The sequence below is a fragment of the Homo sapiens genome, chromosome 3 (genome assembly GCF_000001405.40).
Source record: "Homo sapiens chromosome 3, GRCh38.p14 Primary Assembly".
NCBI classification, from domain to species: Eukaryota; Metazoa; Chordata; class Mammalia; order Primates; family Hominidae; genus Homo; species Homo sapiens.
The window spans coordinates 36,954,772-36,971,665 of NC_000003.12; the positions used below are offsets into that span (position 1 = coordinate 36,954,772).

Consider the following 16,894-nt stretch of genomic DNA (forward strand, 5'->3'; position numbering starts at 1 on the left):
TACATACACAAAGAGTAAACCAATAAATATGCTCACTCAAGTCCATGCAGCTGCAACACACACACACACACACACACACACACTACTCTGTCTTGATTTCCCCATTTTGAATGAGCACAGCCATTCATCTATGAACCCATCAATGCTCTATCTGACCCTTGCCCTTAGCAGAAGCTACTTCTCTCAGTCTCTGAGTCAGCCCTGAGAGGGTAGATATATAATCAGTAGCCTTCACATTCACAGTCCTGACTACCTACTACACCCACATGGATGGGCTAATTCTGGTATCTCCCATACCCTTAGAACAGTGGTTCTCAACCAAGGGTGATTTTTCCCCTAGGGAATATTTAGCAAAGTCTATAAACATTTTTGATTGTCACAATTCTGCAGGAAGGGAAAAGGGTTTTTCTGGCATCTGTTAGGTGGTGGCCAGGGATGCTGCTAAACAGTCTAGAACGGACAGGTCTGTACCCCACAACAATGAGTTATTCAGCCCAAAATGTCAGTAATGCCAAGGTTGGGAAACCTTGTCTTGGGGGGAGCAATGGGCAACTGTCCTGCCCTTAGCCACCTGCTAATAAACCACCTAGGCTGCTTCCTCTGAGATAACTGGCCATGGATACCAGGGACACAGCTACTTGGACCTGAGTGGGCAGGCACCTATTCCTAGGGCAGACAATATGCAGATTATCCATTTTCCCCTGAGGCAAACTGGTGAGAAAGCTATGCCAACAGGGACCACAGCAATTTTCTGGACCAGACCATCTCTCAGCAGTTTGAACTGGAAGTTAGGGGCAACTGATAGTGGGAGCAAAAGATGAAAAACAATGAAAGAGCAGCTACAGGGGCCACAGGGCCAGATTCAGCTGAAGTCATCAGGTCGAGAAAGAGATACACAGAGTGAAGGCAGTTGCTTGGGAAAGCAGCAGGAGTGACTGAAGCTGAAGAGGAGGGACTGGGGCGCCGTGCTATTAGATGATCAGTAAATCTATTAGTACAAGTCAATGAGCCAGCCTGGGCAACATGGTGAAACCCTGTCTCTAACAAAAAGACAAAAAATTAGCCAGGTGTGGTTGCATGCACCTGTGCTCCCAGCTACTCAGGAGGCTGAGGGGGGAGGATCGCTTGAGGTGGAGATTGTAGTGAACTGAGATCATGCCACTGCACTCCAGCCTGGGTGACAGAGTAAGAACACGTTTAAAAAAAAGAAAGAAAGAAAGAGTCAAGGAGAACCAAGCTGTCCTGGGGGATCATCCACCTTGTTCCCAAGCTGTAGGAGGCCTGGCTGCAAGGTGGTTTCTGCACACTTGTGAGTCCTACTTCCCTTGTCGGTGCCTGGGACTTGATGATAGACTCTCTTGTGGGCTGAACTGTGCCCCCCAGTAAGGATATGTTGAAGTCTTCACTCCCACTACTTCAGAATATGGCCTTATTTGCAAGTAGGGTTGTTGCAGGTATAATTAGTTAAAATGAGGTCATTCTGGAATAGGGGGAGCCCCTAATGTAATATGACTTGTATCCTTTTAAGAAAATGGCCATGTGCAGACACAGAGAAACAGAGAATGCCACATGAAGATGGAGGCAGAGATTAGAGTGATGTATCTGCAAGCCAACCGTTGCCAGCTGTCGCCAGAAGCCAGGAGAGAGGTGTGGAATAGATTCTCCCTCAGAGCCCTCAGAAAGAATGAATCCTGACAACACCTTAATTTTGGACGTCTAGCCTCCAGAACTGTGAGAGAATAAGTATCTGTTGTTTGAAGCCACCCATTTGTGGTACTCTGTTACAGTAGGCCTAGCACACTAATGCAGACCCCATTACCCATAGTAACCCAAGTGCATCCCTGTTCCTGACAATATTTCAGCCCTTGCCCTCGAATTTATAAGGCTCTAGGACTCTGGCTCTCTTCTGACTATGCCCCTCCATAGGGGATGAGGAGTCTACCAGCCCAAGGGGATGTGCCCATCTAGAGTCCACACCTAGCTTCTAGAACACATTTGGGGTACCTAGACCCCAAAATTTCCTGCCAAAACAGCTCTGAGACTTGTTTAAGAGTCTGGTCAGGCCTGGTTCTTGTGTCTATCTTTCTGAGAGTGGGCCACGTAGCAGTGCACATACCCCCAGGTTCAACGATTGACCAAGGGCCAGCTATTTGCCAGCAACTAGGGAAGCTGTGGACAGAACTTGGATTTATGGCCTCGGGTGTCCACACACATGTGTACTTTATTCTATGGGACAGAGGTGAGGATATGAAGAGAAAGGGAGCAGGCTATGGGCTCTGGATCTCCATTTGAACTCTTGCCCCAGCTCCCAGGACAGTCAGGGGTGGACCTATCACTCTTACCCCCACAGGTCAGGATTAATGTCCAAGGAATAGGTCCTGGGCATCTTCATGCATCACTCTGTTCCTCCTGTAGGCCCCAGCCACAGGGACTACTGCCTGTTTCTCTTTTTGTGCTCTGACCCATCCCCCTCTGGGTGGCGCTCTACACAACCAACCTCAGCAGCTGGGTCAACTCCTGCTCCCCCTTCCTTCTTCCCCTTCATTATCACCTCCACAAAGGGGATCTGCACCAGATTTCTTAAGAATCCTGACTTATGGGGGGAGGGAGGAGGGAAAGCATTAGGAGATATACTTAATGTAAATGACAAGTTAATGGGTGCAGCACACCAACATGGCACTTGTATACATATGTAACAAACCTGCACATTGTGCACATGCACCCTACAACTTAAAGTATAATAAGAAAAAAAAAAGAATCCTGGCTTACTCCTGTAACTGGGGCCCCCAGATGTCTCAAAACAGAGGTCACATTCAGCTGTCTACAGAGGTCAGGCAAATATCACAACTAAATGTGTCTGGCCAGGTAGGTATAAGTGCCCGGGAGAGGTAAGGTCTACAGCAAACTGGGACAGCCAGACTCCTTCTAAAGTGGCTCCAGCTAATTGTTGCCATGGAGATGGTGGGCTTGATGTCAAAAAACTTTTGATTTTCTGATAGAAACTGGAAAACTTGATTTAATTATGTGAAAGTTCCTGTTCAACTAATTCAAAATTTCGACACAGTGTCTACCAAATAAAACTCAGCCACAGACAAGCCAGAGAGTTTGGCAAGTTTATTACCACAAATAAAACCAACTACCTCTATCAGATCTAGTTGGCAAGCTGAGGAAGCCTGAAGCTATCCTACACCTGGTTTGCCCTGAACTTACTGAACTCCAGTTTGAAGAACTAGTGGTATTTTCATGAATTGTTATTTTTGTGGCCTGATATGACATTCCCACCTCCTTCTATCTGGCAAACTCCAAAACTTGTGATGAGACCTTCATGACTCATCTTTATCATCACCTCCCATGTGTAAACCTGGACTTTCCCAGATAGACAGCCCAGCCTCCCCATTTTCACCACTCCCTGCTCAATACTCCTTATTCATGCCTCTATTACAGCCCTTATCACATCATTTTATAACTGTCTGTCATCTGTCACTAGAGGGTGAGCACCTCAAAGTCTAGGATTTTATCTTGTTCATTCTGTGTTCCCAGCTCCCTGGCACTTTACTGACACAATGCTTGTGGAATGAATGAATAAACAGCACAGATCAGTAATTAAACCAATGTCAGGAAGCTACTAGATATAATTACAAATTAGTATTCATGACAATAAGTTTATCATCATAAGAGCTTAGGAGTGGAGGAAAACAATTTTCAGCAGGATGGCTAAGGAATTTGCATTTGAACTGGGAAACTAATTCTCATAGGTAAGGGGAGGAAAAAGGAAGAACAGTCTGGAAATGAAACTAAAGTCCCAAAGGTCAGAAAGCCTGCGGTGGTCTCTGACAGCGAGAACGGTAGGGGTGGCAAGTAAGACAACAAATGAAATAAAATAATTATAATAAAGTATTCTTAAAGGGGAACTGTGAGGAGACAGTTGTGTAGGGACAACTGAGGTGGTGGGATAAGAATAAGAAAGTGCTTCGAGGACTCTGCTGACAGCCATCTTGAACCACTGCCACACTTGTAAAGGTGTTTGTTTCCTATGGTGATATCACTGTTGCTTCTTTTCCCTAGCTTCAGTCCTGCAGAGACTTTACACTAGGAGCTGCTCCTTCCATTTAGGTATGCCGCCACCGTGCGGTGGGAGTGTGCAGCTACATGACTTACTGGCAGGCTCACATTTTACCTTAACATAAGTGGATGGAAATTGTTCTCAAGCTCAGCACGTTTACAGATCCAACTTTAATGACATCTAAATATCATACAGAGATTTATCTTTACATTAGCTGGGGTCAAGCAAAGAAGACCATACGCAACTCAGTTCACAATCAACCAGGCCCTCCCTCCTTCATGTGTATTCCTTCTGTGTTTTCCTCCTCTTTAGGAACAGAGGTTTATTCAACTTTGCTTCCTCCATAGGGCCTTACATACTGCAGGTGCTTTAAAAAAATCTCTGCTTAGTGGACTTATATAAAGATGATATAGCACGTTTGTTTTTTAAAGTTCCAAAAACATTTTATCACTTTTTCAGAAAAGTGAGAGTAGAAATTTTTCACCCATAATTCCACCGCCCTAAAACAGTGACTATTAATGATTAGCAAACAATTCAAAATAACTATCCTGGCCAGGTGCGATGGCTCACGCCTGTAATCCCAACACTTTGGGAGACCAAGGCGGGCGGATCACTTGAGGTCAGGAGTTCGAGACCAGCCTGGCCAACATGGCCAAACCTCGTCTCTACTAAAAATATAAAAATAGCCAGCAGTGGTGGTGCATGCCTATAATCCCAGCTACTCAGAAGGCAGAAGAATCACTTGAACCCAGGCAGCGGAGGTTGCAGTGAGCCAAGATTGCACTACTGCACTCCAGCCTGGGCGACAGAGCAAAACTCTGTTTTTTTGTTTTTTTGTTTTTTTTTTTTGAAAAAACAAAACAAAAGATCTGGCTTTGTTTTTACTCTCCATGGACCATTAGCCATAAGGAATTGTTGGACACTATCTGATATGGAAAGAGATGTATTTCAGGTTAAGTGAAGGAAATTTAAAGCAGGTTAAAATGCTTTTGGTTTTAAGTAAAAGAGAACTTGACTCAAATTAGCTTAAATGGAGATGTACTGGCTCATGTAATGAAAAGTGTGGGATTCAGACACAGTGTTTCCAGAGCTTCACTCAGGAAGATTCGGCCTTCATGGTGGCAATATGCCAGCTAGAAAAGAGGTATGTGCCGAGTAAAGCCCTTCTCTTTATGGCATTTGGCTCCCTCCCCATCTCCTTGCCAATTAAACCCATTCAACTAGCTTAATGTGTGCAGAGCCAGCTCATTCAGCCTCCCTGTCTCTTCATTGTTAGATATGATTAGTCAACCAAGGGACTCCACATATTTGAGGAAAAACTATTCATGAAAGACAAAGATAAATAAACATAAAAAATATGTCCCCAGAAGTAATAGAGATGGTCTTGGAAACAGAAAAAAATTACAAAAATTAGCCAGGCTTGGTGGCGGGCACCTGCAATCCCAGCTACTCTGGAGGCTGAGGCAGGAGAATCGCTTGAAACCGGAAGGAGGAGGTTGCACTAGTCGAGCTCATGCCACTGCACTCCAGCCTGGGCGAAAGAGTGAAACTCCGTCTCAAAAAAAAAAAAAAAAAGAAAAAAAAAACCCATACTTTCAAACACAGAACCACTGGTCCACAGAACCACTGGTCACGGTGGCTTACATCTATAATCCAAGCACTTTGGGAGGCCTAAGCAGGTGAAACACTTGAGGTCAGGAGTTCAACACTAGCCTGGGCAACATGACGAAACCCTGTCTCTACAAAAAATACAAAAATTCACTGGCATGGTGGCGTGTGCCTGTAGTTCCAGCTACTCAGAAGCCTGAGGTGAGAGGAGAGCTTGAGCCCAGGAAGTCGAGGCTGCAGTGGGCTAAGATTGTGCCACTGCACTCCAGCCTGGGCAACAGAGCAAGACCCTGTCTCAAAACAAAAACGAACAAACAAAAACAACAACAACAAAATGCAGTACCATTTACAACCACTCCAAGGAAAATAAGGTACTTGGATATTCATTTGATATGGTTTGAATGTTTGTGTCCCTCCAAAATTCATATTGAAAATCTCCAATGCAATAGTAGTAAGAGGCAGGGCCTTTACGAGGTGATTGGGTCATGACTAATCCCATCCATGAGGGATTAGCCTTATAGAAGGGTTTGAGGGAGTCTGTTAGTCCTCTTTGCCCTTCTACATTTCCACCATGTGAGGATGTAGCAAAGAGGTGCCATTGATGAAGCAGAGAGCAAGCCATCACCAGACACCAAACCTGCTGGTGCCTTGATCTTGGACTTCCCAACCTCCAGAACTGTGAGAAATCAATTTCTATTTATTTTTATGTATGTATGTATTGAGACGTAGTCTTGCTCTGTCATCCAGGCTGGAGTTCAGCGGTACAATCTCGGCTGACAGCAACCTCTGCCTCCCAGGCTTAGGTGATTCTCCTGCCTCAGCCTCCCGAGTAGCTGGAATTACAGGCATGCACCACCATACCCAGCTAATTTTGTATTTTTAGTAGGGACAGGGTTTTGTCATGTTGGCCAGGCTGGTCTCAAACTCCTGACCTCAGGTGATCCACCCGCCTCAGCCTCCCAAAGTGTTGGGATTACAGGCATGAGCCACCGTGCCCAGCCTTAAATTTCTATTATTTACAAATTACCCAGTCTACGGTATTTTGTTACAGCAGCCTTAATAGACCAAGATAAAATTTTATTATATTTCTTATTTTTATTTTTTGGAGACAGAGTCTTGTTCTATCCCCCAGGCTGTAGTGCGGTGGCACGATCTCGGCTCGCTGCAACCTCTGCCTCCCGGGTTCAAGCGATTCTCATGCCTCAGCCTCCTGGGTAGCTGGGACTACAAGCATACACCACCACACCCAGCTAATTTTTATACATATATATATATATATATATATATATTTTTTTTTTTTTTTTTTTTTAGACTGAGTTTCACTCTTGTTGCCCAGGCTGGAGTGCAATGGCGTGATCTTGGCTCACTGCAACTTTTGCCTCCTGGGTTCAAGCCATTCTCCTACCTCAGCCTCCCAAGGAGCTGGAATTGCAGGCATGTGCCACTACGCCCTGCTAATTTTGTATTTTTAGTAGAGATGGGGTTTCTTCATGTGGGTCAGGCTGGTCTTGAACTCCCGACCTCAGGTGTTCCGCCTGCCTCAGCCTCCCAAAATGCTGGGATTACAGGCGTGAGCCACTGTGCCTGGCCCTATTTTTTATATTTTTAGTACAGACAGGATTTTGCCATGTTGTCCAGGCTGGTCATGAACTCCTGACCTCAGGTGATCCACCTGCCTTGGCCTCCCAAAGTGCTGGGATTACAGGTGTGAGCCACTCCTCCTGACCTAAGATAATATTTTTAAAAATAATTTATTGGCTGGGCGCAGTGGCTCACGCCTGTAATCTCAGCACTTTAGGAGGCCGAGGTGGTCGGATCATGAGGTCAGGAGATCGAGACCAGCCTGGCCAACATGGTGAAACCCCATCTCTACTAAAAATTCAAACAAAATTAGCTGGGTGTGGTGGTATGTGCCTGTAATCCCAGCTACTCAGGAGGCTGAGGCAGGAGAATCGCTTGAATCAGGGAGTTGGAGGTTGCAGTGAGCCGAGATCACGCCACAGCACTCCAGCCTGGCGACAGAGCAAGACTCCATCTCAATAAATAAATAAGTAAATAAATAAATAAATAAATAAAATAATTTACCGAGGTGAAATTCACATAACTTAAAATTAACCATTTTATTTATTTATTTATTGTTTTGAGACAGAGGTCTTACTCTGTCGCCCAGGCTAGAGGGTGGTGGCGCAGTCCTGGTTCACTGTAGCCTCTGCCTCCTGGGTTCAAGTGATTCTCATGCCTCAGCCTCTGGAGTAGCTGGGATCACAGGTGCACATCACCATGCCTGGCTGATTTATTGTAATTTTAGTAGAGATGGGGTTTCACCATGTTGACTGGGCTGGTCTCGAACTTCTGACCTCAGGTGATCCACCCACCTCAGCCTCCCAAATTGCTGGGATTACAGGTGTGAGCCACCGTGCTGGCCTAACCATTTTATTTTATTTTATTTTTATTAATTTTTAAGATGGAGTCTTGCTCTGTTGCCCAGGCTGGAGTGCATTGGCTTGATGTCAGCTCACTGCAACCTCCACCTCCTGGGTTCAAGCAATTCTCCTGCCTCAGCCTCCTAAGTAACTGAGGCTACAGGGAGTCTAATATTTGTATTTTTAGTAGAGACAGGGTTTCACTGTGTTGGCGGGGCGGGTCTTGAACTCCTGACCTCAGGTGATCCACCCCTTCGGCCTCCCAAATTGCTGGGATTATAGGCATGAGCCACCACACGTGGCCCAGCCGAACCATTTTATTTTATTTATTTATTTATTTATTTATTTATTTATTTATTTATTTTTGAGACAGAGTCTTGCTCTGTTACCCAGGCTGGAGTGCAGTGGCATGATGTCAGCTCACTGCAACCTCTGCCTCCTGGGTTCAAGCAATTCCCTGCCTCAGCCTCCCAAGTAGCTGGGATTATAGTCGTGCGCCACTACACCCAGCTAAGTTTTTGTATTTTTAGTAGAGATGGGGTTTCGCCATACTGGCCAGGCTGGTCTGGAACTCCTGACCTCAAGTGATCTGCCCGCCTTGGCCTCCCAAAGTGCTGGGATTACAGGCGTGAGCCACCGCACCCGGCCCTAACCATTTTAAAATAAACAATTCAGTGGCATTCAATACATTCACCGTGTTAGGCAACCACTACCTCTACCTAGCTCTAAAGCATTTCCATCACTCTACGATAAACCCCTTAAGCTGTTCCTTCCATTCCCTCTCCCCTCCGCCATTGACAACCATCAATCTGCATTCTGTCTCTATGATTTTTTTTTTTTTTTTTGAGACAGGATCTCACTCTGTCACCCAGGCTGAAGTTCAGTGGCGTGATCTCGGCTCACTGCAACCTGTCTCCCAGGTTCAACCAATTGTCCTGCCTCAGCCTCCCAAGTAGCTGGGACTACAGGTGCCCGCCATCATGCCTGGCTAATTTTTGTATTTTTAGTAGACATGGGGTTTCACCATTTTGGCCAGGCTGGTCTCAAACTCCTGACCCCAGGCGATCAGCCCGCCGTGGCCTCCCAAAGTGCTGGGATTACAGGCATGAGCCACCAAGCCCGGCCCTGACTCTATGAATTTGTCTATTCTAGATATTTCAAGTATACAGAGTCATATAATATGTGACCTTTTTTGTCTGGATTCTTTCACAATGTAGCATAATGCTCTGGAGTTTCAGCCATGTTGCAGCATGCATCAGTACTTCATTTCTTTTTATAGCTGAATAATATTCCATAGTATTTATATATCAAAATTTGTTTATCCATTAACCTGTGGAGGGACATTTAGGCTGTTTCCACCTTTTGGCTATTGTGAATGGTGCTACTATAAACATGTGTACACATGCCTGTTTAAGTATATGTTTTCAGTTCTTTGGGGTATATACCTAGGAGTGGAATTGTAGAATCATGTGGTAATTTTGTTTAACTTTTTGGAAAAATATCAAGCTGTACCCAAAGTGGTTGCACCATTTTGCATTTCCACCAGCAAAATGTGAGAGTTCCAGTTTCTCCATATCCTTGCCAATACTTATTTTTCTTTTTAAAAAATAGCTATCCTAGTACATGGGAAGTGACATTCATTGTGGTTTTAATTTGCATTTCCCTAATGATTAGTGATGTTGAGCATCTTTTCATGTGTTTATTAGTCATCTGGATATCTTTGGAGAAATGGCTATTCAAGCCCTTTGTCCATTTTTAACTGGGTTGTTCGGTTTTGTTGTTGAGTTGTAGGAGTTCATTATGTATTCTGGATATTAATCACTTACCTGATACATGATTTGCAAATATTTTCTCCCATTCTGTGGGATGCCTTTTCATTCTCTTCATAGTGTCCTTTGATACACAAAAGTTTTTCATTTTGATGAAGTCCAATTCACCTGTTTTTTTCTTGACCAAAAAGTAGAAACAACTGAAATGTCCACCAACTCATGAACAGATAAACAAAATGTGTATATAATGGGATATATTCAGCCATAAAATGAATGAAGTACAAACACATACAACATGGATGAACCTTGGAAACTTTATGCTAAGTGAATACAGTCAGATACAAAAAGGGAACTATTGTATAATTCTATGCATGTGAGGTACACAGAATAGTCATTTTCATAAGGACAGGAAATGGAATAGTGGTTAGCAGGGGCTGAACAGAGGAGAAGATTGGCAGTTATTATTTAATGGACATAGAGTGTTTTTCTTTGAATGATTAATAAGTTATGGAACTAGATAGTGATAATCATGAATGTACTTAATACCACTGAATTGTACATTTTAAAATTGTTAAAATGGGGCTGGGAACAGTGGCTCATGCCTGTAATCTAATCCTAGCACTTTGGGAGGACAAGGAGGGAGGATGGCATGAGCCTTGGAGTTCGAAGTTACAGTGAACTCTGATTGTAACCACCCAATGTGTTCACCTTGCCCGCTGCCTAGACAGAGCCGATTTATCAAGACAGGATAACTGCAATGGAGAAAGAGTAATTCACACAGAGCTGGCTGTGCAGGAAACCGGAGTTTTATTATTACTCAAATCAGTCTCCCCAAGCATTCGGGGATCAGGGTTTTTAAAGATAATTTGGCAGGTAGGAGTTTGGGAAGTGGGGAGTGCTGATTGGTCAGGTTAGAGATGGAATCATAGGTGGTTGAAGTGAGTTTTTCTTGCTGTCTTCTGTTCTTGGGTGTGATGGCAGAACTGGTTGAGCCAGATTCCTGGTCTGAGTGGTGTCAGCTGATCCATTGAGTGTAGGGTCTGCAAATATCTCAAGCACTGATCTTAGGTTTTACAATAGTGATGTTATCCCCAGAAGCAATTAGGGGAAGTTCAGACTCTAGGCGCCAGAGGTGGCATGATCCCTAAACTGTAATTTCTAATCTTGTAGCTAATTTGTTAGTTCGCAAAGGCAGACTGGTCCCCAGGCAAGAAGGGGGTCTTTTCAGGAAAGGGCTGTTATTAATTTTGTTTCAGAGTCAAACCATGAACTGAATTCCTTCCCAAGGTTAGTTTGGCCTACTCGCAGGAATGAACAAAGACAGCTTAAAGGTTAGAAGCAAGATGGAGTTATTTAGGTCTGATTGCTTTCATTGTCATAATTTCCTCAGTCACAATTTTGCCAAGGCGGTTTCATGATCATGCAACTGCACTCCAGCCTGGGCAACAGAGCAAGACCTTGCCTCTAAAAAAAGTAAATAAAATGGTTAAAATGGAAATTTTTATATTATGTGTATTTTACCATGATAAAAAAAATGAAAGAAAACTGGTCTAGCTTTATTAATATGAGACAAAACAGAATTTAGGACAAAAAAATTAGAGAGGACCACTTAATTATGATAAAAGCTTCAAGTCATCAGGAATAATTAACATTGGTACAAAATATGTATGTACCAAATATTATTGCCTTGACATGTATAAAGCAAAAGCTGTCAGAATCACAGAGAAACTCACAATCCTTGCGGGAGATTTGAACAAAATTATCTCAGTAACTGATAGAACAAGCAGTCAAAAATTTTCTTTCGGCCGGGCGCGGTGGCTCACGCCTGTAATCCCAGCACTTTGGGAGGCCGAGGCGGGCAGTTCACGAAGTCAGGAGTTCGAGACCAGCCTGGCCAACACAGCGAAACCCTGTCTCTACTAAAAAATACAAAAAATTAGCTGGTCATGGTGGCGGGCACCTGTAATCCCAGCTACTCGGGAGGCTGAGGCAAGAGAATTGCTTGAACCCGGGAGGCAGAGGTTGCAAGGAGCCTAGATCACGCCATTACGCTACAGCCCAGGCGACAGTGCGAGACTCTGTCTCAAAAAAAAAAAAAATTTTCTTTCACATCAGGGTGAGAAAACTCATACAAAGATCTTCCTAGCAGCATTATTCATGACAGCCTCAAACTGGAACCGACCTATTAATAAATATCTATCACTAGTAGAAGAGATAAACACATTGTATTAGATTAATCCAATGTAATACTGAACAGCAATGGAAATGAAATGAACTGTAGGTACATCCAACAACATGGATGAATTTCAAAACATAATGCTAAGCAAATAAAGCCAGACTCAAAATAATATATGCTGTATTATTCCATTTACGTGAAGCTCAAAAATAAGCAAACTAAATTATATGTGTAGAGAAGCATATTTATTTGATAACATTATTTTTATAAAGCAAGAAAGTTATTTCCATAAAATTCAGAATTGTAGATTTTTTTTTTTTTTTTGAAACAGAGTCTCATTCTGTCGCCAGGCTGGAGTGCAGTGGCATGATCTCAGCTCACTGCAATCTCCGCCTCCAGGTTCGAGTGATTACCCTGCCTCAGCCTCCCTAGTAGCTGGGATTACAGGTGTGCACCACCACGCCCAGCTAATTTTTTGTATTTTAGTAGAGACAGGGTTTCACCATGTTGGCCAGGATGGTCTCGATCTCCTGACCTCGTGATCCGCCCACCTCGGCCTCCCAAAGTGCTGGGATTACAGGCATGAGCCACTGTGGCTGGCCTCTTTTTTTTTGAGACAGAGTCTCGTAATTGTGGATATTTCTAAGAGGAAAGAGGAACATTGGAATTGGAAAGAGACCAGTGGGCCAAAGGTGGAAAATGTTGATGTAGACTTCTAAGATTTTGACAAAATTTTGTTTTATGGCCTGGTGGTTATATAAATATTTACTGTATAACAATTCATTAAGATACACATTTGTGTTTTTTGTATATATGTGTTCTATTTCACAATCTTAAATGTTCCTTAATTAATTAATGGAGCACACCTTCAGAGTTGGGTGGGAAAATAATTCTGCCTAGAAATCCAAACTTAGACAAGCTAGCTATCAAGACTGAGGACAAACTAAAGCCATTCTTACACCTGTAAGGATTCAGGGTTTATCTACTATTTATGCTATCTGAAGGAGACAATTGAATATGTTGGCCAGGAAACCAAGTGTGAGGAGTATGTAGAAAACAGAAGATGATAGTACTAACCCTGTTAATCTAATAAAAAGAAACCCCAGGATGACTGCTTGCAGTGGGGTTTGAAAGAAATCTATTCAAATTAAAACAGGAGGTCCATGTGCTCCAAAAAGATATTCTTTTTTTTTAAATATATATATATCTTTTATTATACTTTAAGTTCTAGGGTACATGTACACAACGTGCAGGTTTGTTACATATGCATACATGTGCCATGTTGGTGTGCTGCACCCATTAACTCCTCATTTACATTAGGTATGTCTCCTAATGCTATCCCTCCCCCCTCCCCTACCCCATAACAGGCCCCAGTGTGTGAAAAAACGATAGTTAGATGCCACGAACTAGGTGGCAATGCCTTAACCGTATGTGTGTTGTCAGGCCTGAGGGCCTCTTCCATCCTTGTCAAGGGGAGTACTAACCTTCTCCCCTTTCATACAACACAAAGATATTCTTAAGACTTCTAGAATAGACCCTGAACAATTTTAGAGTAAGGAACTAATAGATATCAGTGCTTTCATGAAGAAGGCTTTTGCTTCTCCTGATGAGGGAAAAATTATAAAAATTCTAAGACAGGAAAGTTATGATCCAAACTTGAAATAAACAAATGTGGTATGAATTTGGGCAACTGTGGTTCTTTAAGAAAAGAGAATCCACCATGCAATTTTCTTTTTCTTTTTTTTTTTTTTTTTTTTTTGAGACAGGGTCTCACTCTGTCACCCAGGCTGGAGTGCAGTGGTGATCTCAGTTCACTGCAACCTCTGCTTCCCGGGGTCAAGTGATTCTCATGCCTCAGCGTCCCAAGCAGCTGGGATTACAGGTGCCCGCCACAACACCTGGCTAATTTTTGTATTTTTTAGTAGAGACAGGATTTCACCCTGTTTGTCAGGCTGGTCTTGAACTCCCGAACTCAAGTGATCTGCCAACCTCAGCCTCCCAAAGTGCTGGGATTATAGGCGTGAGCCACCGCGCCTGGCCCATCATAGAATTTTCTAGGAATATTGTCCTTTGAGAGGTCTAGGGTGATGACATAATTATACAAGAAAACATAATGTCATAACAATTTAATATTTTTAGTAATTTTAAATTTGTGTCATCAACCTACAGACAAAGGATGGGGGTTCAGGTTTCTGAACAGAATGTAAATTTTCAACCTCAACAATGTAAATATCAAAGTGAAGCTCACAGAAACCAGAAGGTAGAAGTAGGAAAAGAGATGGAGGCAAGGGTAGGGGAAAAAAGTCAAGAGACGTTAGTGAAAATTGACAGAATTAAAAACAAATAGTTTAAGAACAGAATCTAAATGTATAAAAGTAACCAATGGAAAGAAAACCAATGATACAACAAAAGTCATGGTAAAAAGAAGAAAAGGAGAAATGGGGTGGTATTAATTAGTTAAATCCTTATTAATCATAAGCAATAAGTAGACAATGCCTACAGTTGATAAATTAAGAATTAGCAATATACAGAAATATATATGAAACCAAAATAACTAATGAAAGAAAAGGAGGCTGGGCACGGTGGCTCAGGCCTGTAATCCCAGCACTTTGGGAGGCAGAGGCAGGCAGATCATTTGAGTCCCGGAGTTTGAGACCAGCCTAAGCAACGTAGTGAGACCTCATCGCTACAAAAAAACAGAAAAATTAGCTGGGTGTGGTGGTGTATGCCTGTATTCCCAGCTACTTCAGAGGCTGAGGCAGGAGAATCAGTTGAGCCCAGAAGGTGGAAGCTACAGTGAGCCAACAGAGTGAGACCATCTCAAAAAAAATTTAAAAAAATGAAGAAGGAAGGAAGGAAGAGAGGGAGGGAGGGAGCGTGGGCGGGGGGGGGGGGGTGGAGGAGGAGGAGAGAAGGAGTGGGAGGAGTGGAGAAGGAGGGGGAGGAGGAGAAGGATAAAAGGTTACAAGTGGTTGTTACTAGGAATGGGGGAGAAGAGAAGTGGGTAATGGCACTGAAGCTTTTTATTATGTCTTTCAGCATTCTCTGATTGTTCTTAAACCATCAACAGATCTCAGTATGTAGACTAAAAGGGAATATTTGGTGAAGAGATCTTCTTTCACTATTGTACACTTGCTATGGACATGTCCATGCCTGCTGCCTGGCAGGCACCATTCATTAAGTAGGCCCCTGTTGCCAAGGAAACCAGCTCTTCACTGATACCAAAGATAATGCAGAGGCCTGCCGCTCACCAAGCAACCTTCCTCATGAGCTATGCCCCCACCTTCCTGAACTGTCTCTTGCTCCTGTTTGATACTGTCATGCTGCACGAAGCTTACACTTGCTATCTCTCACTTCCCTCTTAGTCATCTGTGATGCTGGCTAAGGGAGCTAGGCCAGTCAGCAGTGACCTGTTGCCCTTGGTTTATTATAAGCAAACTGTTCACAAGAAATGAACTTCTGTTGTTTTATAAATGATATGCATCACAGAACACAGAATAATATCAAAACCACATTAGTTTTTTCATACTTGCTTCATTGACCCCAGGGGAAGAGGGGAGAGCAGGGAGAGGACTTTCTCTTTTTTTAAATACTAATTATATTGAGGTATAAAGAACATATAGTAAGTTCACAGACCTTAAGTATACAGTTTGATGAGTTTTGGCAAATATGTATACCTGTGGAACCAACACCTCAGTCAAGATATAAATACTTACATCAGCCGGGCGCAGTGGCTCATGCCCGTAATCCTAGCACTTTGGGAGGCCAAGGCAGGTGGATCATGAGGTCAGGAGATCGAGACCATCCTGGCTGTCCACTAAAAATACAAAAAATTAGCCAGGCATGGTGGCACATGCCTGTTGTCCCAGCTACTCAGGAGGTTGAGGCAGGAAAATCGCTTGAACCCGGGAGGCAGAGGTTGCATTGAGCCGAGATAGCACCACTGCACTCCAGCCTGGGCAACAGAGAGAGACTCCGTCTCAAAAAAACAAAAAACAACAAAAAAAACCATACATCGACCCAGAAAGTTCCTTCTGTCAGTAGCAGTTCACCCCCCCATGCCCCCAACCCTTGGCCTCCCTGCCTTCCCATCTCCACTCCCAACCCTCACTGCTCTGATTCTATCACCATTGTTTTGATTCTTCTGCTGTTGATCTTCATAAAACCAGTATATTTCCTTTTGTGTCTGGTTTATTTTCCTCAGAATAATGTTTTTAACATTTATCCATATTGTTATGTGTATCAGTCGTTTCTTCCAGATTAGTACTCTATTGTATGGATAGAGCCTATTTTGTTTACCCATTTCCTGTTGACAGACATTTGGTTTGTTCCCAGTTTTGGATTATAATGAATAAAGCTGCTATGAACATTCTTGAACGATGAACATTTTTGTGGACATATGTTTTGATTTTTTTGTGTAAATACCTAGGAGTGAAATTATTGAGGTATGGTATAGGTTTATGCTTAATTTTATAGAGTACTTAAACTTGATTCTTTTATTTAAAATTGTGATAAAATACACATAACATAAAATGAACCGTCTTAACTGTTTTTAACTGTACAGTGCAGTGGTACGAAGCACATTCACATTGTTGCACAACCATCACCACCATCCATCTGCAGAATTATTTTTATCTTGCAAAACTGGAACTCTGAACCAGGTGCGGTGGCTCACGACTGTAATCTCAGCACTTTGAGAGGCCGAAGCAGGAGGATCGCTTCAGCCCAGGAGTTTGAGACCAGCTGGGGCAATATAGTGAGACACCGTCTCTATAAAAACAAAATAAAAATAGACCAGGCGCGATGGCTCATGCCTGTAATCCCAGCACTTTGGGAGGCCATGGTGGGCAGATTG

The 16,894-nt window shown here is 43.1% G+C and overlaps 1 pseudogene, besides 3 other annotated features; it reads right to left on the reverse strand.

The window, feature by feature from the left end:
* Nucleotides 116-325: a transcriptional cis regulatory region, noted in NCBI's record as "candidate enhancer chr3.1267 targeted for multiplex CRISPR interference". NCBI's record gives its function as "positively regulates TRANK1 gene expression with high confidence in K562 cells {active_cell/tissue: K562}" and the evidence as "EXISTENCE:mutant phenotype evidence [ECO:0000015][PMID:30612741]".
* On the reverse strand, nt 13,421-13,545 carry RNU6ATAC4P (RNA, U6atac small nuclear 4, pseudogene; annotated as a pseudogene).
* Nucleotides 14,978-15,027: an enhancer, noted in NCBI's record as "active region_19667". NCBI's record gives its function as "activates an Ori minimal core promoter by ATAC-STARR-seq in GM12878 lymphoblastoid cells {active_cell/tissue: GM12878}" and the evidence as "EXISTENCE:reporter gene assay evidence [ECO:0000049][PMID:35858748]".
* Nucleotides 15,118-15,177: an enhancer, noted in NCBI's record as "active region_19668". NCBI's record gives its function as "activates an Ori minimal core promoter by ATAC-STARR-seq in GM12878 lymphoblastoid cells {active_cell/tissue: GM12878}" and the evidence as "EXISTENCE:reporter gene assay evidence [ECO:0000049][PMID:35858748]".